This window comes from Homo sapiens, chromosome 8 (genome assembly GCF_000001405.40).
Source record: "Homo sapiens chromosome 8, GRCh38.p14 Primary Assembly".
Classification (NCBI taxonomy): Eukaryota; Metazoa; Chordata; class Mammalia; order Primates; family Hominidae; genus Homo; species Homo sapiens.
This window is the reverse complement of record NC_000008.11, coordinates 132,704,533-132,727,365: the sequence shown is the minus strand read 5'-3', so window position 1 is coordinate 132,727,365 and position 22,833 is coordinate 132,704,533. Positions and strand designations below refer to the sequence as shown.

General features: G+C 38.9%; 1 protein-coding gene across 14 annotated transcripts in view; it reads left to right on the top strand.

Moving 5' to 3' along the window:
* TMEM71 (transmembrane protein 71) overlaps window positions 1-21,527 on the top strand; it is a 70,161-nt gene extending 48,634 nt beyond the window's left edge. For 12 of the 14 annotated variants that reach the window (NM_001382397.1, XM_047421363.1, NM_144649.3 and 9 more), the window contains 4 exons: window positions 5,251-5,326; window positions 13,151-13,212; window positions 13,314-13,371; window positions 16,384-17,425. In NM_001382397.1, the coding sequence (NP_001369326.1) occupies window positions 5,251-5,326; window positions 13,151-13,212; window positions 13,314-13,371; window positions 16,384-16,399 (212 nt within the window). In that variant the 3' untranslated portion in view covers window positions 16,400-17,425. Of the gene's footprint in view, window positions 1-5,250; window positions 5,327-13,150; window positions 13,213-13,313; window positions 13,372-16,383; window positions 17,426-21,195 lie in introns of those variants that run through there. The other 2 variants (NM_001382396.1, NM_001382398.1) reach the window with 2 other exon arrangements.

Sequence of the window (22,833 nt, the reverse complement as noted above, 5' to 3'; positions counted from 1 at the left end):
AGAATTGCATGAACCCAGGAGGCAGAGGTTGCAGTGAGCTGAGATCGCGCCATTGCACTCCATCCTGGGTGACAGAGCGAGACTCCATCTCAAAAAAAAAAAAAAATTCTGAGAATATTTTGTAAAATGTTAGGCTTCAATAAAGCAAAGTGGAAGATACACAGATGTTTGCTATTTTAATTCTTAGCTGTGTATTGGACATACTACATAAGAAGGCACAGTGGCTCACACCTGTAATCTCAGTATTTTGGGAGGCTGAGGCGGGTGGAACACCTGAGGTCAGGAGTTTGAGGCCAGCCTGGCCAACATGGCAAAAGTCCATCTCTACTAAAAATAGAAAAATTAGCTGGGCATGGTGGCACATGCCTGTAATCCCAGCTACTCTGGCGGCTGAGACAGGGAGAGTCACTTGAACCTGGGAGGTGGAGGTTGCAGTGAGTCGAGATCACTCGAGATCATACCACTGCATTCCAGCCTGGGTGACAGAGTAAGACTCCAAAAAAAAAAAAAAGAAGAAGAAGAAGAGGAAACAACAAAAAGAACATCCTTTAATGCTATGCTTCTGACAAGGAAAAGTCAAAAGATAATAAAGGCATTGGTATTTTCTGGCAGGAGCAAAGCTGTAATAAATTCAACAAGCATGTCCCTTAGTCTCTGGTTTGCTAATGTCAGATTAAGCATGTTTGGACATGGTGCTGCACCAAGGTGAAAGAGCCCACTCTGTCATTGGCTTGCTGAGATTAAAAGCCCAGATCCCTACTCCTTAGCTATAACTCAGAAGCAGTTTACCAAACCCTCTCAAACTTCATTTTTATCTCTACATGGAGAGGATCATAATTCCTACCTTGTCATGACTAAAATAACTCATGTAAAGTACTTAGCATACTATGTCATGTCTATTGAATACTCAGTAAATGTGAAGTTATTGTTACATAACATTGAAGTTAAATGGAAAAAATATTTTCTGTTTATTTGCTTTCAAAAAATCATAAATATTCACTTCACTGGCCATCACTCTTCTAGTCCTGAAGATCAATATGCTTTGTACATTTTGTTCCTAGTGCAGCTACTAGATAAGTGTTCAAGGGTTTTTTTTGTTTTGGTTTGGTTTTTGTTTTTTTATAGTTCCCTTTCCAGGTGTTGAAATGACAGGTTATCAACACCTAAGAAGGCTCAATAGCCACCTCCTCCAGGGAGCCCACCCTTCTTGGTGCTCCCCTAGCTCCCAGGACTTCTCTTTCTCATGCCCATTATTTGCACTGTCACTGCATGTTTGCCTCTGTGAGCTCCTTAAAGATAAGCACTAGGTCATTGTCATCTGTGAATTCCAAAATGCCCACATAGGCACAGAGATGATGCTTCATTACTGGTGGACCAATTAATAAGTGTGCTACCTCCATTTTACACATAAGAATATTCAGATTCAGACAGGTAAAGTTAACCTTTGTACTCTTTGCCAAGAGTTTTGTAAGAACAAATATAAGCTCTTTGCTGGGTCTGGAATCTCTCTCCCACCTGCTATACCTGGGTGGCCTCCTACTCTTCCTCAAGTCTCAAATTAAATGAGACCACCTCTATGCACCTTCTCTACCCCCTTCTGGCTGGTGGAGGTAGCGCTTCACTTCGCCTTGATTCCCTAGCACTCTATATATCACTATAGAAACTGTTTATTTTCCTCTTTCTCACTAAGCTATGAAGTCCTGGGTGGACAAGGTCTCCATCTTCCATTAAGCCCTTCACATGTAGGTATTGCATGTGTGTTCTTTTCCAGGTGCCAAAGATATAGGCAGATACATCAGTTGTATCAGTTGAAGATTTTTGAGTTCCAATGGATGGAAACCCAACTCAAAGTGGATTAATCAATAGAATTTATTGGCTCATCTTAATGAAAATTCCAGGCTTACAGTGCAGGATCCTGGCATTCTCTGTCTTTTGTTGTCTCTTCTCTTCTGTGTCTGTGTTACTCTTTAAAAGGTTGTACCAGACCAGCCTGGGTGACATAGTGAGACCTTGTCTCTACAAAAAATACAAAAATTAGTCAGTCATGGTGTCTCATGCCTGTAGTCCCAGCTACTCAGGAGGCTGAGGTGACAGGATCGTTTGAGCCCAGGAGTTGGAGACCAGCCTAGGCAACATGGTGAGACCCCATTTCTACAAAAAATTATCTGGGCATAGTGGTGCATGCCTGAATTTCCAGCTAGCTGGGAAGCTGAGGTGGGAGAATCACCTGAGCCTAAGAAGTCAAGGCTGCAGTGAGCCAAGATCATGCACTGCACTGCAGCCTGGGAAATAGAGTGAGACCCTGTTAAAAAAAAAAAAGAAAAAAAAGAAAAGAAAAGAAAAGAAAAAAAGGCCCTCCATACATGGTGGATCCTGGTGGCTCTGTGCCTACACCTTTCCAGTTTCCAGTTCTGCAGAAAGAGATTACATCTGTCTAGGCTAATGACAAGAGGCCAGTAATTGAGTTTTATTGGTTTTGGAAGGGCATGTTTCACATGAACAAAACTTTGTTGATAAGTATGTGTGCTGCAGAAAGTCAGGGACCCTGAATGGAGGGACTAGCTGGAGCTGCGGCAGAGGAACATAAGTTGTGAAGAGTTCATGGACATTTATCACTTCTCTAATAATGCTTTCATAATTTGTTATGCCTCTCTTTATTTTAATCTCTTAATCCTGTCATCTTCATAAGCTGAGGCTGTACGTCACCTCAGGAGCACTGTGATGATTGCGTTAACTGTACAAATTGATTGTAAAACATGTGTGTTTGAACAATATGAAATCAGTGCACCTTGAAAACCAACAGAATAACAGCGATTTTAGGGAACAAGGGAAGACAACCATAAAGTCTGACTGCCTGCGGGGTCGGGCAAAAACAGCTATATATTTCTTCTTGCAGAGAGCCTATAAATGGATGTGCAAGTAGGAGAGACATCGCTAAATTCTTTTCCTAGCAAGGAATATTAATATTAAGACCCTAGGAAAAGAATTGCATTCCTGGAGGGAGGTCTATAAACGGCTGCTCTGGGAGTGTCTGTCCTATGCCGTTGAGATAAGGACTGAGATATGCCCTGGTCTCCTGCAGTACCCTCAGGCTTACTAGGATTGGGAAACCCCAGCCCTGGTAAATTTGAGGTCAGACCGGTTCTCTGCTCTCGAACTCTGTTTTCTGTTAAGATGTTTATCAAGACAGTATGTGCACCGCTGAACATAGTCCCTTATTGGGAGTTTCTGATTTTGCCCTGTCCCTGTTTCCTCAGAAGCATGTGATCTTTGTTCTCCTTTTTGCCCTTTGAAGCATGTGATCTTTGTGACCTACTTGCTGTTCTTGCACCCCCTCCCCTTTTAAAATCCTCAATAAAACTTGCTGGTTTTACGGCTCAGGTGGGCATCACAGTCCTACCAGTATGTGATGTCACCCCCGGCAGCCCAGCTGTAAAATTCCTCTCTTTGTACTCTTTCTGTTTATTTCTCAGACTGGCTGACACTTAGGGAAAATAGGGAGAACCTACGTTGAAATGTTGGGGGTGGGTTCCCCTGATATATGTGAAACTCCGAAAAGCTTGAAAGGAATCAAATGCTAGGAGGAAAGTCAGAAAAAATCAGTCACTTCACCTAAACTGTGTACCAAGAGAGGGGGAGAGGTGATTCCTCAAGGAAAATATGAGCACTGTCCCCAGAGAACAGGAAATCAATGCTATTTTCTCAATGAGCTTGCAGTTTAGTGGGGGAATATTGAGAAATATTATAGAATTTTTAATTCCATGTGAAAAGAGAGTTAGCAGAGATATGAACAAGGTATAATGGGAGCACAGGGAGGGAGCAGCTAAGGGCCAAGGAGGAGCCAGTAGAATCAAGGTAGGCTTCCTAAAGGAGGTTACACCTGAGCTGAGCTGAAAAAGGTATTCAGCAAATGGCAACTTAAGGAAGGAATCCATGAATAATTCATCCCAAATCACACAACTCATATCTTTGTAGATCTCAAATCTAAACCCATTCATCCTTCAGTATCCAAGTCTAGTGATCTTTGCAGTTTTTCAAGCTAGATTTGTTTCTGAGGAAATGTTTTCCAAATTCCACATGAAATCAGGGGAGGCTAAGAATAGAAACACACTTTAGAAGGATGGTTGAGTATTCAGTTGAACCCACAATAACTGAATTCACAATGTACATGAACAACTGTACATTTGCAGTGACATAATTTACTACTGTGATATTTTGAATTGCCAATCTTCAGCATTCCACCCGCATTATGGGCTAAGTAGGTTTTGTTAGCTGACTCAATCCTCATTCATGGCATAAATAGCAAAAATAAATGCATTCATAACATAAAGTCATTCCAAGTTTTAAACAACTGTTGCAAAATTGAGCTTTTGAAGCATTTGGCAAAAATTAAGTTGAGGTCTGTTTATATTCTCCTTTAGGTTTTTTATGTGGTAATCCTCAAATCAGCTTTAATTTATTTAAGGTGATTAGAATAATACTGAGGTTCATGATTGAATTAACTCTTATGCTTATAATTGCTGGATAATTTGTAGTTTCTACTGTGGCTTGGCAGTACTGAAATATTGTACTGATTGCAAAGAGTTTTCAAAGACAAATATTTCATAATATATGTTCTCATTTTTTGTCTTTAGAGACTTCCATTATGCAAAGTTGCAATTGTCTTTCCCTGCCCACTTCAGACAAAATGTTATGTTCTGTCTAGATGTGGTTTTTAAATCTTGGCTGTGACACCTCATAGCTATGTGACCTTGGACAAGTTCATCATTTCTCTTAGTCTTTTTCTTCTCTTTGCAGAACTAAGATAATGGCATCCACCTCACAGCGTTGTTGTGCTGTTTAAGTGAACTAACGTATACAAGCTCTTTGTGAATTATAAGGCACTTTACAGATTTTAGACATTATTATTATCACAATGACAGAATTAGATTTCTTACATTATCATAAACTCTACAAAGCCTTTCCCCAACATTAAATCAAAAGGCAAGCCCTAAACTGTGAAAATAGCATAGTCTTTTATTTTATAGTGATTGAAGAAAGTAATTATTTGCAGAAATTTTCTAATGACAGCCCTGTATAACAGTAGGTAATTTTATCTTGTTATTTATGACACATTGCTTGAACTGACATACATTCCAAAACTTTTTTTTTTTTTTGGTGGGTACAAGGGAAGTTTGAGATGATTTTTTCTTCCAAGATGATTGAATCAGCAATGATTTCTAATTTATTTGTTTTTGTTCTTCCTATTAGAAACCAGGTTGTTGCAAGAGGTCTTCTTTCAGGCAATCCTGCTTGCTGTGTGCTTAATCATTTCTGCATGTGCAAGGTAATTCACGTTTTATTTTCATGCAGCGGTATTTCATAATTAGTGAAACTATAGCTGATTGATGATTTCCTTGCCTTATTCCACAAAACATTTTAGGTAGCTCTGTGGTTGAGATTCGTTCATGTGTCTGTCCATGATAAGTTTCCCTTTATCTCTCATTGCCCACCTCTATCCTCTCACAAAGCATACAAAACCTAGAAAGTGGGCCAGGCACGGTGGCTCATGCCTGTAATCCGAGAACTTTGGGAGGCCAAGGTGGAAGGATCACCTGAGGTCAGCAGTTCGAGACCAGCCTGACCAACATGGTGAAAATTAAAAGTATGAAATTAGCCAGGCGTGGTGGCTCATGCCTGTAATGCCAGCTACTCAGGAGGCTGAGGCAGGAGAATTGCTTGAACCCGGGAGGCAGAGGTTGCAGTGAGCTGAGATCCCGCCATTGCACTCCAGCCTTGGCAACAAGAGCAAAGCTCTGCCAAAAAAAAAAAAAGACAAAAAAAAAAGAAAAAGAAAACCACCTAGAAAGCATACAAAACCCAGTGTACGTTGCTTAAAATTGTATTTTACAGTGGATTGCTTTTTCTCCAAAGAGAAGTGGCTCCTGTTAACAGATATACTCTAAGTATAGCTGGAGTTTAAAGCCACTTGAAGTTCCCACTGTGCGATTTAGGGTCCCTGCAGAGACTCCACCCTTCCCATTGTATTTGTATATCCCCACATAAATTGTCTCTTCATGCCTTCTTATAGGTATGTTTGTTCTCTACCCTCTGACCTGTATGTTCTTCCTCTGCCTTGTTTTCCTTTCCCTATTCAAGTCTCCAGGGCAGTGATCAGGTTCCTTGGTGCTAGGCCCACTCCTGTCTCAGGGCCTTTGCACTTGCTTTTCACTCTGCCTCTTAGAATCCTCCAGATAGCCTCATTACCTGTGACCTTACTTCTTTACAAAATCCGTTCAAATGTCACATCATCAGAGAGATCTTCCCTGAAAATCCTTTATAAATAGCATGCCACTCTTTGTCGCATGCACCTTGCTTTACTTTTCTTTTGAGCACTTATTACCCCCTGACCTGTGACATGATTAGCTGTTGAAGTTTTAATGGGATCTGCCTCTCCCTAGAAGAATGTGAGCTGCCTGACAGCAGACACATTGTGCGTCTCCCTCACTTCAGTATCCTCAGTGCCAGGGGTTCTTCAATATTTATTGAATCAATGAAACAAAGGTGAATACAACAGTCCAGGGGTCTTTATGGTTCTTGAACTCTGGCCAGCAAGGGCTGCCTGCTCTCGAGTCCCACATTTTGAGGGTCAAATACAGCAGCATCACTTGGAGGAGGTGCTTTTTTAAATACAAAGTCCTAGATCCCATCTCTTGAGATTCTAATTAAGATTTACTGAGAATTGGTAATTTAAAATAAGCTTCCCAGATAATTATGAGGTTTGCAAAACATTTTTAGATCACAATGGGACCACAAGAACAAAAGTGGAGTGTGTGTGTGTCGGAGGGGGTGCTTCTGTGGTTAAAAATAAATTTGCAAAATTCTGCATTCTATATCCCAAACTGGAAGACCATGATGTGCATTAGTATAATAATCAGTGAAATAATGTGGTGAAGGAACACGTCTAGCTTTATTTCACTTCGTGTTTTCCGCACCTCCAAGTTGATCGCAGAGCCCTTTCTTTTCTTTCACAGGACTGTAAATGGTATGTTTCTTAGGTTAATGTTTGTGGATACTCCTCCCTTAAGAGGCGGAGCTTAACTCTTAATCCTTTAAGGGAGGGCTGCATTTAGAAACTTCTTCCAGGGAGTAGAGTAAGGAAGGGGGTAAGAAAGGTAACTCTTCAGTGGAGAAACAGGACAAACACTGCTGCAAGTGAACAAGTCAGCATCAACAGAGATAAGTTACACTGATTGCATGTCCCCTTGATACGACGTGGTGAGAATGGCACTTTACCTCTGTGGTCTTCCACATCCCAGTCTGCCAAAAGAAAAATAGCAGAAAAAAAAAATTAAGGGACATTCAACACATTATCTGAGCAGGACTTTCCAAAACTGTCAAGGTCATCAAAACCAGGGAAAGTGACAAACTCTCAGAGCCCAGAGGAGCCTAGCAGACGCAATGACTAAACATATGTGGTGACCTGGATGGGATCCTGGAATAGAAAAAGGAAAAATCCAAATGAAGTGTAGAGTTGAGATCATAGTAATGTACCAGTGTTGGTACATTACCATGTTCCTTCATTGTGACAAACATACCACAGTAATAATAATAGAGGAAGCTGACTGGAGACCACATGAGAACCCTCTGTCCTAATTTTCTGATTTCTCTGCATATCTAAAATTATTCTAATAATGTTTATTTGAATTAAAAATTGACTAAAACTGTATAGACGTGGGCAAGAGCATGGATGTTTCTCATAGTAAGTGATAGGTGACAGACAGGAAAGTTGATATGTTTGCACATACAGGTTGAGTATGCCTCATACAGAATGCTTGGAACCAGAAGTATTTTGGATTTTGGACTTTTTGTACATTTGGGAAAATTTGCATATACATGATGAGACATCTTGAGGATGAGAATCAAATCTAAACAAAATTCCTTTATGTTTCATATACACACAGCCTAAAGGTAACTTTACACAATATTTTAGGGAATTTTCTGCACCTGTGGCATGAAGTCAGGTGTGGAAGTTTCCACTTGTGGCATCATGTAGACACTCAAAAAGTTTCAAACTTGGGGCATTTCAGATTTTGAATTTTTTATTTAGAGATGCTCAACCTGTGTATATAAAATTCAAGAAAAGGCAAGACAAATCAATTATTATAGATGTAAGAATAGTGATTAATTCCGAGGGTATATACTGAAAAGGACAACCAAGGAACCTTAAAGGGCGCGGGAAATATTCTATATCTTGATCTGGGTAGCAATTACAGGTGTTTATACAAAAAATCAAAATCAAGTTGTACACTTTATAGGCTTTGCTGTATTTATGTTAGAGCTCATTTTAGAATAACAGTTTTAAAATGCATATAAAGAGATTTCCAAAGGATATTCACCAGATTTTATTAATAACTTCTTCCATATGGTGGGATTTTTCTGATGATATTTTCTTTTCCTTTTTGTATTTATTCGTAATCTCTTTCAAATGATTCACATTTTGAAAATAAAAACAATAAAAATACTATTCTTTTTTGAAATAAATCTACTCAGTGACATCATCACCCATCATATTGGCAAAAATTCAAATGCTTGGTCACACTTTTTTGACAAGGTTGTGAAATAGCAGACATGCTCCATCATTGCTGTGAAATTTTTAACAATTTATTCTTAAAATCCCCAGGTAGGGGGGCTGGGCACGGTGGCTCACGCCTGTAGTCCCAGCACTTTGGGAGGTTGCGGCAGATGGATCACGAAGTCAGGAGATGGAGGCCATCCTGGCTAACACGGTGAAACCCCGTTTCTACTAAAAATATAAAAAATTAGCCAGGCGTGGTGGTGGGCACCTGTAGTCCCAGCTACTCGGGAGGCTGAGGCAGGAGAATGGTGTGAACCCGGGAGGTGGATCTTGCAGTGAGCCGAGATTGTGCCACTGCACTCCAGGCTGGGCAACAGAGCGAGACTCTGTCTCAAAAAAAAAAAAAAAAAGAGAAAATCCCCAGGTAGGGAGATTCCATAATGTCGACCAAGTTTAAAGTTACATATCTCCTTTGACCTGGCCAGGCCTTTTCAAATAATTTATTGTGTGAAATGACATATGTAAAATGCTATTCATTGCATTTTAAAAAATGCTATTCATTGTATTTTTAAACAGATTTTAAAAATTATTTTTAAGTGCACCTTTAGTGGTTTTAGTATATTTACAAAATTGTGCAACCATCACCACTCTAATTCTATAACAATTGCATCACTGAAAAAAGAAACCCTCTACCCATTAGCAGTTACTCTCCTTTCCTTCCTCTTCCACCTCCTGAAAACCACTAATGTACTTTCTGTCTCTGTGAATTTGTCTATTCTGGACATTTCCTATAGAGTTATACAATATGTGGACTTCTGTGTCTGGTATGACTTATGTAGCATAATGTTTTCAGAGTTCATCCATGTTGTAGCATGTATCAGTACTTCATCCTTTTCTATGGAAGAATAATATTCCATTGCATAGATATACTGCATTTTGTTTATCCATTCGTCAGTTGATGGGCATTTGAGTTTTTCCCCATTTGACCATTATGAATAATGTTGCTATGAACACTGGTGCACAAGTTTTGTATGGACATACAGTTTCATTTTTCTTGGTTAAATATCTAGGAATGGAGTTTCTGGGCATATAGTAAGTCCATATTTAATATTTTTAGAAACTGCTGAAACGTTTTCCAATAGGACTGCACCATCTTACACTCCCACCCCCACCAGCAATGTATGAGGAATCCAAATTTTCCTCATCCTCAACATTTGTTATTGTCTGTCTTTTTGACTAGAGCCATCCTGGTGGGTGTGGTGTGATATCTCACTGTGGTTTTGATTTGCATTTCCCTGATGGATAATGATGTTGACCATCTTTCCATGCACTTATTGGATGTTTGTTTGTGTATCTGTTTTACAGAAATGTCTATTCAAGTACTCTGACACTTTTTAAACCAGGCTGTTTGCTTTTTGTTGTTAAGTTAAAATAATTCTTTATATATTCTGCATATTAACCCCTTCTCAGATATGTGATTTGCAAATGTTTTTCCTATTCTGTGGTTTGCCTTTTCACTCTGTCGAATGTATTCTTTATGTGCAGAAGTTTTAAATTTTGATGTAGCCCAACTTCTCTACTTTTTTTCTTTTTTTGTGGTCTGTGCTTTTGGTGTCACATTCAATAAATCATTGCCAAATCCAATGTCATGAAGTTTCTCACCCATCTTTTGTTGTGTTTTATAGTTTTAGCTCTTACATTTAGGTTTTTAATTCATTTTGAGTTAACCTTTGTATATGGCATAAAGTAATGCTTCAACTTCATTCTTTTGCGTATAGTGTAGTAAGTTTTGAAGTGGAAAAGCATGAGCCTTCCAACTTTGTTTTCCTTCCTCAAGATTGTTTTAGCTATTTTGGGTCCCTTGCACATCATTTTGGTAATAGCAAAAATAGAAACAACCCAAATGTCATAAATGGAGGACTGAATAAATAAATTCACACCACAGAACAATGTGCAGTTGTGAAGTGCCATAGAGATAGATGTAGTAATAAAGTTAGAGATGGGGTGGGAAAGACAGAGAGACAGAGAGAGAGAGGATAATTTATATCTTTCAAGTTATAAATTATTCATAACTATAAAGTACAAGCATTGAATACAGTTGTCCCTCAATACCGAAGGGGGTTTGATTCTAGAGCTTCCCTCAGATACCAAAATCCTTGAATACTAAAGCCCCTTATATAAGATGATGTAGTATTTGCATATACCGTATGTATATCCTCCCATATAGTTTAAATCATCTCTAGATTACTTATGTAGATGGGTTATATTACTTATGAAATTTATTACAGGATAAAAAGAGGCATCACTGTTATTAAATGAAATGCTTGTTTTTGAAAGGGGGTGTTAGGTCTGACTGGTCTGAGTAGCTTTTTTACAGACAAAATATGCTATGGAATATACAGTGTGGGTGATCTAGATCTCCATCTCTTCACTGCCATGACTCTGATTCAGAAATATATTGAGCCTTTACAAGCAAGGTGTGGAGTGGTGAGGGGCGTGTGAGCAAACAAATGTGGGGTCTGGTCACTGCTAGGTTGCGATAGCACCCGGGCCTAGCCACAACTTTGCTCCGAAATCAGAGCGGGCAACAGGAGCAGGGAGAGGCCAGGGGCAGGAGCAGGCGCTTCCAAGCCTGCAGGCACAGGGGGGCTTCCAAGGCCCCCAAGAGTGCAGGGATGCCTGGGTTCAGAGCCATGGCTGAGCGGCTGCAGCTGCACCTGGGAGGGCGGGGCCCCCTCCAGTTCCGGGCTCCCTCCTGTTCTCGGCTCCCTCGGGCTCTGCGAAGCCCACAACCCTGGCCAGGCCTCCCCTGCTGCAGCTGGCGTCTTTGCAGCAGCCACTCCAGATGGGCTGCTGCTGCCATCGCTTATGGGACTTCAGTTTTTCCCACCATTTCTGTCTTCCCTTAATTTCTTGTTTTGTCAGAACAAATTATTTCTCTCACGGAATATTTTGCTTGTATATGATTAATACAGAAAACTATTCACCTCCTCTAAGAAAATATACTAACCCACAGCAATAACAAATGTGCTATTCTACAATTAGCTCATTCCTTTTTGTTGCTGAATCATATTCCATTGTATGGATGTACCACAGTTTGTTTATACATTCACCTATTGAAGGGTGTCTTGGTTGCTTCCAGTTTTTGACCACTTTGAATAAAGCTTCTACAAAGAATCATATGCAGATTTTTGTACAGACACAGAATTCACCTCAGTTGAATTAATACCAAGGGGTGCAACTGTTGGGTTATATGGTAAGTCTAAGTTTAAATTTGTAAGCAAGTGAAGCTGTTGGGTTATATGGTAAGTCTATGTTTAACTTTGTAAGCAAGGGCCAAACTATCTTCCAACTGTTTGCACACTTTTCATTCTTTTTTTTTTTTTTTTTTTTTTTTTTGAGACGGAGTCTTGCTCTGTCGCCCAGGCTGGAGTGCAGTGGCGTGACCTCGGCTCACTGCAAGCTCCGCCTCCCGGGTTCACGCCATTCTCCTGCCTCAGCCTTCCAAGTAGCTGGGACTACAGGCGCCCGCCACCACGCCCGGCTATTTTTTTTTTTGCATTTTTAGTGGAGACAGGGTTTCACCGTGTTAGCCAGGACGGTCTCAATCTCCTGACCTCGTGATCCGCCCGCCTCGGCCTCCCAAAGTGCTGGGATTACAGGCATGAGCACCGCGCCCTGCTGCACTCTTTTCATTCTTAACTGCAATGAATGAGAGTTTCTGTTGCTCTGCATCCTCCCAGCATTTTGTATTGCCAGTTGTTTGGGTTTTAGCCATTCTACTAGGTATGCAGTGATATCTCGCTGTTTTAATTTGCATTACTGTAATGAGGAATGATGTTGAACATCTGTTTTTATACTTATTGACATTTGTATATATTCTTTGGTGAAGTGTCTGTTCAGATCTTTTGCTCATTTTTTCAAGTGGGTTGCTTATTTTCTTATTATTGAATTTTGAGAGTTCTTTATATATTATGGATAGAAGTCCTTGATTAGATACATAATTTGCAAATATTTTCTCACAGACTGCGCCTTGTCTTTTCATTCTCTTAGCAGTGTCTTTCACAGTGCAGAAGTTTTACATTTTGATAAAGTCCAATTATTCCTTTCTCTTCTTTCATGGATTGTGCATTTGGTATTGCATTTTAAAACTCATTGCCAAATGCAAGGTCATATTGATATTCCCCCATGTTTTCTTCTAGAAGTTTTACAGTTTTACGATCTACATTTTTGGTCTATGACCCATTTTGAGTTAAATTTTGTGTAAGGTATGTTATACATGTGGAGGTTCATTTTTTTGCATGTAAATATCCAATTGTTTCAACACCATTGGTTGAAAAGACGGTATGTTCTCCTTTGAATGCTTCTGCGCCTCAATTAAAATCAGTTTACTCTATCTGCATAAGTCTACTTCTGGGCTGTCTACTCTCTTTCATTGATCTGTATGTCTGTCCATTTTCCAATACCACTGTCTTTATTACTGTAGTTTCATAGTAAACCTTGAAATCATAATTCTATAGTAAGTCTAAAAAAATCACACAGGTTGGAAATGCACAATTAGTATGCTAAATCAGAGCAATCTTGTTGTTTCAGATGGTTTATGGGAGAAATATTAGCCAGTGTCTTCACATGCTCATTGATGATAACTGTAGCTTGTAAGTAACTGTTTCCCAGATTACTGCAATGATGCCTGTATTTCATTCCAATTTTGGTCACTTTAAAATGATTTTAAAATATTTTCTCTGTTTCACTCAAGATGTGAAATCATTGTTTCTCAGCCTTGCCAGCTATTTCAAAACCACTGCCTGTGCTCGGTAAGTGTTGCCTGTGTCATCATTATTGTCTGGACCAAGGTGATCATAATTTGATATCTGAGAATGGTTTCTGCTGCATAGTAGATGGCAATGACAGGAAACATCCTGATCATTCGTCCTGAAGACTACTTTCTGTTACTGCTAAAATTTAATAGTATTATCATCCTGCCTCCTAAATTTTTACATCAAAATAATTGTTAAGCACAGGACTTAGAAAATAATTTGAAAGGCGATGTCATTTAAAATAATTTTTAAAGTGATTTTGTAGATTCATAGCACTACACTTTATAAATACCTCATCTGAAGAAACCTTTGTGTTAGACGTTCCCAAATAGCTGGCAAACTGCCCATGAAATGATCTCAGTTACAAACTGTGATTTCTGTGCCTTCTCTTATTCATTTAATGATCCCCTTGTGTGTTAACTGCCATGGTTCAGCATATTTCAAAGGGTTACTGGGGTCTGGTTGGGATGCCCATAGAATTTCAAACAGTCTGGATAGCACCATCCTATTGCACGATGGACTGTGTTAATTACCTTCACTTCAATATGGCTGCCAGAGGCAAACTCACATGGCTTGGAGACTGAGGTCTGTAATTCACCATGGCACTCTTACAAAATCTGCGCTAATTCTGAAATCACAATGGGGTTTAGTGAAAATTTATTTTGGTTAGGATTCTAGCCAATATTGACTTACTGACATTTTGAGTGATGCTTCCCATAATTTCTGGGTATTTCTGGTTTCTGGGGGTGCACATACAGCTAAGTTTTATTCAACCTGATATTTAGAAAATCGAATCTCTGGGTAGCTCAAGAAATCCTTATAATTTAGCCCTTGAAATTAATGACAAGGCTGGGTGTGGTGGCTCACACCTGTAATCTCAGCACTTTGGGAAGCTGAGGCAGGAGACTTCCTTGAGTCCAGGAGTTCTAGACCAGCCTGAGCAACATAGTGAGACCTACGAAAAATAGACAAAATTAGCTGGGTGTGCTGATGCGCACCTGCAGTTGCAGCTACTGGGGAGACTAAGATGGAGGAATTGCTTGAGCCTGGGAGGTGGAGGCTGCAGTGAGCTGTGATTGTGCCCATGCCACTGCACTTCAGCCTGGGCTACAGAGAGAGAATTTGTCTTAAAAACAAAAAGAAAAAGAAAAAAGAAAAAAGAAAAAGGAGTTAATGACATTTGTTTAAAACAATTATTGATTTCTAAAGTGGCACCACCTAAGTTACCAAATCTTTATTAAGAATTTACAATATGTTCTATACGGTATGGGGTACCAAGTTTAGCTCAGTTGCTGTTAATGAAGTGTCTACCATGGGTTAGACACAGTCACTAGGTACCAGGGTGTGAATGCCCCAGCATGTGGCTGGCTTTGAGATTTTATCATCTCATTAGAGTAAAGGACTTGTAAGGGGCAAGGTGAAGTTGCCTTTTAATATGGTAAGTGCAAATATCAGGTTAGTACAGGAGCCAGGGGGAGCACAAGGAGGTCAGTTTCCCAGACTAAGAGGAGTGGGGAGTATGTTCAGGGAGGGCCTCCTGGAAGAGCCAATATCCGATCTGCAGGGGTTATATCACCTGCTGTTTTCTCAGAACTTCCCATTGTTCTGAGCTCATTGTTTGTTCTCTCCCAAAAGAAATTACATCAGGACAATATTTCTATCCTGAACAAACACTTTTATCTTCTGACTCATTTATGGAAGGAGATCCTTTCTTTGATTATTTGTGTACATACTTTGACTTGTTCTTCTCTTGTTCCCAACTCCATTTTTTCCTGTTTCCTGCCCACCAGCCTCATATACACACACATTTGCATTTAAGACCTGTGAAAACAAGGACTATTGACTTCATTTTTGTATCTACAACCAAAGCCTTGAAAATAGTATGTACTCTGTACATATTCATTAAATTTAATGTATTTACTGCATCATTTCTTGAAGTACTTCCTTGAAAGCCAAGAGCTCTGCGTGTATATTAAAGATTTTGCAACCCTCTCCTTCTTATATAAACATACCGAGAAACTAATAAACCAAAGATATGGTTATTAATATCGAGAATCAAGAATGACTCATAAGTCTCCTCTAACAATCAATGATGAGAATCTAAGGAACTGAATTCAGTTCAACAAATATTAATGCAGCACCCTCCCCCCAACACACACACCCATCCTGCACTGTGCAAGTTAGATTAGATTAGGTGCCTCTTTAGCACCTCACACGGCTCACATCATATCCCTTTTCATAACATAATGAAATTCTTAGTCAACTGCTTTCCTGATTAAATTTAAAGCCTGTGAAGATAGGGACTATCTGTCTTGTCCACCACTGGCCTGAGTGTCCCTTGCAAATGAAGGTCAGCACAGGTATCTCATGTTAGTAATGATGTGTTAGCATCAGCGGTACACGTTTTGCACACTTATGATTTCATAGTAACAAAATGGGTCACATCTGTTCTCTCTTAAATGAAGGAATGTATGTTCGTATACTTAATGAATGAGTGAATAAACTTTAGGGAATAAAAATATGGGGAAAATCCACCTGTTACCCTACAGGCTGTTCTACGGGGCAGGAGAGAGCAATTTTCTGGAAGGTGTATTCTTTTGAGCCATTTTCTTTACCAAGTTTTTAATCTTCTTGAGGATCATGATTACCTTTCACTTAAAGTGCAATTAAAATACTGATATAATACAGAAAAATGCCATAAGGGCAGGTGGGAAGAGGAAACCATAGGAAATATTAGTTAACTAAGTACCACGCTGGGCTGAGGGGTCAAAACCTCTATAGTCTTTCAGACAAAAAGGAGAGCACTAAGAACTGCTGGGATAAAAGCAAAAACGAAAAGTACCCTTAGTTGAGGCTGCACTCTTCCTAGTTGTGATAATTCAGGCCCGTTGTGGGTATGGGTGTGGGTGTGTGCTTATATATGCGCAAATGGGTATGCAGTGATTAGATACTGCATTTCCTGTGCATGGGGATGAATTATGCATTTCTTTTCTTATTTCTCCAATCTAGGTTTGTCAAAATTTGACAACCATTTAGGAATGCCTTCGATGAATGTCCTCCATCTGAATATCTGGAAATTGTCCAACTTGCAGTCTACTTGGAATCAAGTGTTTTATTGGAAGGGAGTAAGCGAGTAATGGAGAAAAAGCCATTTTAGTTTGACTATGTGATTTTAAAATGATCTCAGTTTTTCCATCAAAATTATAATATGCTCATGAAAATAATATTAATTTGCCTTCCCTTTGCAAACACCGGCAGTTGAAAGGAAAAGGACGGGGAATGTGATGGAAAAGAGACCGCCTGGAATAAATGTCCCCCTATGATTCTTTAAGGCAGTGGTTCTCGAGCTTGAATTTTCATTAGGAAATTCTGTGAGGAGCTTGTAACCAGATTTCTGGGTCTGCCACATGCACCTATCTCTTGCTGAATTGCTTTAATAGAATAATGAGAGCAAGTTTGTCTAACTAATACCAACCTGACAACTTGAATAACAATAAATGCAATTTGTACATAAAATATAATGCTGCAAAAGTTTGTCATTCACCTCAGTGGAGTGACTTGATATTAGGTGGTAACCGTAGATGATGGTTAATATGAAAATGGACAGGAAAGAAGCATTTTCTGAAAGTTATATTCTTTTGAACCACGTTCTAAACCAAGTTTTTAATCTTCTTGGGGCTCGTAATTACCTTTCACTTTAATGTCACTTAAAGATATAACACAGAAAAATGCCTTGAGGGCAAAATATAGGCAAAACACCAATGCGCTTTCAAATGCATGAAAATGGTGCAGTTGTACCCTTGAGCCTTGACTCAAGGGCTGTAGATGTTCCCTTTCCACCCCCCACACTTGGTGCGTGTTCACAAAGCAAATATGGCCTGTAATTCAAATTTGTTCTATGTGATACTCTCTGAGTAAAAACTCATACATGCAGAAAATTGTCTTTGCTCGAAATGATAATGCCAAAATATAACTTTATATATAATTTGCATTTAGTACATTTTTGGTTAAAAAATAAACTAATAAATAAGTGAAGTCATCAGCAAATTTATATTTGTGTGTGTGTATATATATATGTATATATATATTTTTTTGAGAAATCATGGCAGAACATCATTCATTGAAGACTGTATTATTTCCCTATTGCTGCCTTAACAAATTACCCTAAACCAAGTGGCTTACGGCAACACAAAGTTATTGTTTTACAGTTCTGGAGCTCAGAAGTCTAAAATAAAGGTCAGCAGAGTTATTTTCCCTCTGGAGGCTTTAGGGAAAAATCTATTTCCTTGCCTTTTTTAGCTTCCAGTGGCTGTCTGTATTCCTTGGCTTGTGGCCCCCTCCTCCACCTCCAAAGCACACCACTCTGATTTCTTACTTCCATCATTACATCACCTTCTCCTCTTCTGCAGTAAAATCTCCCTCTACCTCCCTCTTTAAAGGACACTTGAGACTACATTTAGGATCCACTCTGATAATCCAAGATAAAATCTTTGACTTAATGACACCTTCAAGGCCCCTATTTTCATATAAGGTAACATTGATGGGTTCCTATGATTAGAACCTGGCTATTTTGGGGGACCATTAGTAAGCTTACCACAGTTGTATTTGAAATAGCCTCGTGTAATAATTTAGTAGGTCTGGGATATGTCCCATGCCTTTGCCATTTTTACAAGTAGGTTAAGTGATCACAAAGTGATCCACAATCCACGTGCATGAATGCTTTGAAGTGGGATTTAAAATGAATTTAATGGAGAACTAAATGCATATGGAGCCTTTCATTTAATACACTATTAGGAGAACTTCCATTGAGAATTTCTACATTTCCTTTGTCTATGTGTAACACACATTTTTCTACAGAGTCATTTGATTTAAATGATAATGTTTTTCAAAGTAAGATACTGAAATAGTACTAACTGTTTACGTGCATATAATGCTTCATTGTTGACAAGGACATTTTCTCCCCGGCTGTATAAGCTTACTATGGCTACAGTAACAAGTTACCACAGATTTGGTGGCTTAAAACAATGCAAATTTATTATCTTACAGTTTTGGGGGTCAGTCCAAAATGAGCCTTACAAGGGTAAAACCTAGAGACTGCTTGCATTCCCTGGCCCCTGGCCCCCTCCTCCATCTTCAAACCACTTCACTCTAGCCTCTGCTTCTGTGGTCACATCTCCTTTTCTGACTTTAGACATCTTGCCTCCTTCTTTAAATAATTTTTGTAATTACATGGGGCCCACCCAGATAATCCAGAATAATCTTTCCATTTTAAAATCCTTAACTTCATCCCATTTACAAAGTCCTTTTGCCACATAAGGTAATCTAGTCATAGGTTCCAGAGTTCTGGAATGCAGATATCTTCCAGGACCCAATGGCTAAGGCCTTCCCCAGTGAAAGCTTCAGATGAGAGGCCGGTGCAGGACAACACCTTCTTTACAACCTTGCAGAGGACGCAGTTAAAGACCTCTGCAGAAACTGAGATTAATGTGTGTTCTAAGCTGCTAAGCTTGTGCTAATGTCATTACATGGTGATAGATAATGAACACAACATCCACTGATTCTCCTCCAAGTGTATAAAGTGTGTTGCTGTGCAAAATGACTTTAGGACATGTCCCCTAGCAGTGGGCTCCAGCCAGATGGTTGCTCTTGAGCCCCACTACTTGGAGTGGAGAGTATAACCTTAATATCCTGCAGATCCATCTGTGACAGAGGTGCACAGGACCTGACTAGTGATGTGTGTGCTGCCAGGAAGACTTGTACATCACTGGATGTCAGCTCTCTGCCAATGGCCAGCCTCAATCCTCTTCAGGTCCTATTTGTTATTGTAGTCTAGCAGCGGGCAATATTGTTATAAAGAACCACGTCTGCTGTACACAAAAGATTCTCAGTGATCTGGAATGCACTCCTTGGGAATTTGTAACTTTGCTGAATTTAATAGTCATCATCATAATATGATTTCATGTATATATTTGATTTTATAGTTTCATTTATTAATACATTCAGTAAATATATATTTAGTCCAACCATGTGCCAAGAGCCAGTCTAGCCCCTGGGAGTATGACGGTGAAGAATACAGACGAGGTTCCTGTACTTATTAAATGTCATGTTTATGTAGGCACCATTCATTCTGTGAAATAGGCAGAACAGCTGTTTTTAAAAACTTGTATTGTTCAAATACGAGAAAAACAGAAAATAGTGTAAAAATTATTATAAGGCAAATGCCTTGTTTTAGTCTGTTTTGTGTTGCTGTACCAGAATATCACAGACTGTGTACTTTATTTTTAAAAAGAAACATATTTCTCACAGTTCTGGCAGCTGTGAAACCCAGTATCAAGGTGCTGGCATCTGGCAAGAGCCTTCTTGCTGCATCATCTCATGGCTGAAGGTGAGAAGATGAGAGAAGGCCAAAGGGAGGAAAGGGGCCAAACTCATCTGTCTATCAGGAACCTACTCCCGAGATAACTAATCTATTCTCACAATAATAACATTAATTCATTCATGAGGGCTGAGCCCTCATGACCTAATCCCCTCTTTAAGGTCCCATGTCTCAACACTGTTGCACTGGGGATTAAGTTTCCAACATATGAAATTTTCAGGTCACATTCAAACCATAGCATGCCCTTTTAAGAACCGAAGAATAAAAAGAGACGAAATCTTGCTAGCTGTATCAGGAGCCCTCCAGCTGCCCCTTCCAACATCCTCACCTTCAGAATAACCACTATGGCTGAGTTTATGATAATCACCTCTGCATCTTGCTTTATAGTTTTTATTACCAATTACGTTTCTAAATACTATAGTATAGCTCTGCCTGGTTTTATTTGTTTGTTTAATATGCCTATTGGGTCTCTTTGAATGCATAAGTTCTTCCTCCCTGACCTTTGAAATTTGTTTCTTTGAAAACTGCATCATTTGTCTTGTAGACTTTACTCCATTGGAATTTTGCTGATCGCATGTCTGTGGTAAAGTTTAATGTCTTCCTTAGTCTTCTGTATTTCTTGCCAACTGAAAGTTGATTACAGAGGCTTAATCGTTTTTTGTTTTGAATTTTGTGGGGAACAATTACTTCCTAGGTGGTGTCATATTCTTTGTCAAGAGTGACATTATGTCATTTTGTGTTGTCAGCAGCCATTTCTGATCAGTGGTTAGATATCTAATTAATTAGAGATTGAAAAGGATGATATTCCAGTTTGATCACATCTTCTTTATTGGGAATATATCTGTGCAAGGAAACATCTACCGTCTGATTGCCCAGTGGTTCAGATTTTATAGGAAAGGAGAGATGAATGCTTGAGTCTTTTCCTGTATTTGCTAATTTTCAAAACAAAAAGTTTATTTCTTAATATCTTTTAAAGGTGGCCAGGATGCTATGTATAATCAGCATTTATATATATGAAGGAACCATGTTTAATATATAAAATTTCCCAAAAGGCACACCCTCCAACTTCCAAACTCTATATACTTTGTACCTCATCAAGATGCTAAAAAGATTGAGAAAGTAAATTAAAGTATGGGAGATATATAGATAATAACTCAACTTTAAAAATTTAACCACCATTTATTTTTTGAGAGCCTACTACCTGTAAGAACTGAGTCAGGTACAGATGTTTTAAAATATGGTGCCTGCCCTCAACAAACTTGCTCTCTAATAGGGGAAACAGGGCATTGCATGAAACAAGAAGGGTAAGACCATGGGGCCAATACTGATGGAAGATGCTAAAGGACTGTAGAGGATTTCCACTCACCCACTGTCATAGCTCAGACTGCTATAAGAAAATACTGTAGATTCAGTGTCTTACCCAACAAACATGTATTTTTTTTCAGAATTCTAAAGGCTGCAAAGTTCAAGATTGAGGTGCCAGCTGATTTGGTGTCTGGTGAGGGCTCACTTCCTGGTTTGCAGATGGCTGTCTTCTTGTTTCAGCTTCACATGTTGGAAAGAAAGATCCAGTGTCTCCTCCTCTTTTTATAAGAGAACAAACCCCATTCATGGAGGACCCATTATCATAACCAGATCATTTTCCAAAGTCCCCACCTCCAAATACCATAACATTGGGGATTAGAGCTTCAACATATGAATCTTATAGGGACAAAAACATTCAGTACATAATACTCAGTTACCAAAAATGTATGCCTAATAAATTTTAGAGATTCAATACTTCTGAATTGAACATCACTGTTTTGACTTACAGGTCTTTTAACGCCTTTTACTAGAGATATTATTTTGCTGCTCTAAAAAGTATAAATGGTTTGTAGTTGTTCTAGCTCATTCATCCATGAGTTCAATCAATCCAATCAATCATTATTATAATTGATCACCTGATAATTACCTGGCACTTCTTAGGAACCAAGGATTTTTTAAGTGAAGGAAATACAATTCTACTCTCAAGGAGCAGATGTCATAGCAGACTGGGAACCAGCTAAGCATGTAATTACAAGTGTCAAATATACTCTAGAGCCAAAAAATGCATTTCTTTGAAAACATTTACAAGGTCAGATTCTCTGGTAATTTAGATGAATTCTTCCTTTGGGTTAATGGGAATTATGGTATTGTCTTCTCTTTTTGAGAGCAGAGAGGGATGAGACATGAAGGGAGAACCAAAGTATCAGAAACAGGTAGTGAGGAGAAGAAAATAAAAGAAATGATTACAGTGGCAATAAGTTAACAGTAATAGGAAATACGATCACTGGGGAACTTTTATTCTGTGCCTGATCCTGCCCCTGACAAGTTCACGTTGCATGTTCTATTAAATCTCATAACAACCACTTTAGCTAGGCAGGTGTGATGGTTAATTTTATGTGTCAACTTGGATATATCATGATGAAAAGTTGCTTGGTCAAAAACTGGTCTAGATGTTCCTGTGAAGGTATTTTGTGGATGTGATTAATGTTTGCAATCAGTTGACATTAAATAAAGCAGATTATCCTCCATAATGTGGGTGGGCCTCATTCAACACATTGAAAGCCTTAAGAGCAAAGATGGATGTTTACTAAAGAAGGAAGTCTGCCTCCAAATTGCAATATAAACATTCTGCCTGAGTTTCCAGCCTGTAGAGTCAAGACAGTAACATTATCTCTCACCTGAATTTCCAGACTGCCATCTTGCCGTATGGATTCTGGACTTGTCAGCTCACTACGACTGTGTAAGCCAATTACTTAAAATCTCTCTCTCTCTTTCCATATATATATAGTGTATATATACTGTATTAGTTAAGGTTCTCCAGAGAAACGGAACCAATAGGATGTGTAATATAGATATACATGTATTACATATAATATACAAAAAATGTATATTTATAATTCATCACATAACCAATGGGACATATAATATATGTGATTATGTATAATATATGTGACATATGTAATATATATGTTTATAATATATCATATATCCTATTGTTTCTGTATCTCTGGACAACCCTGTCTAATATAGCAGATATGATTATTGCCATTTTATACATT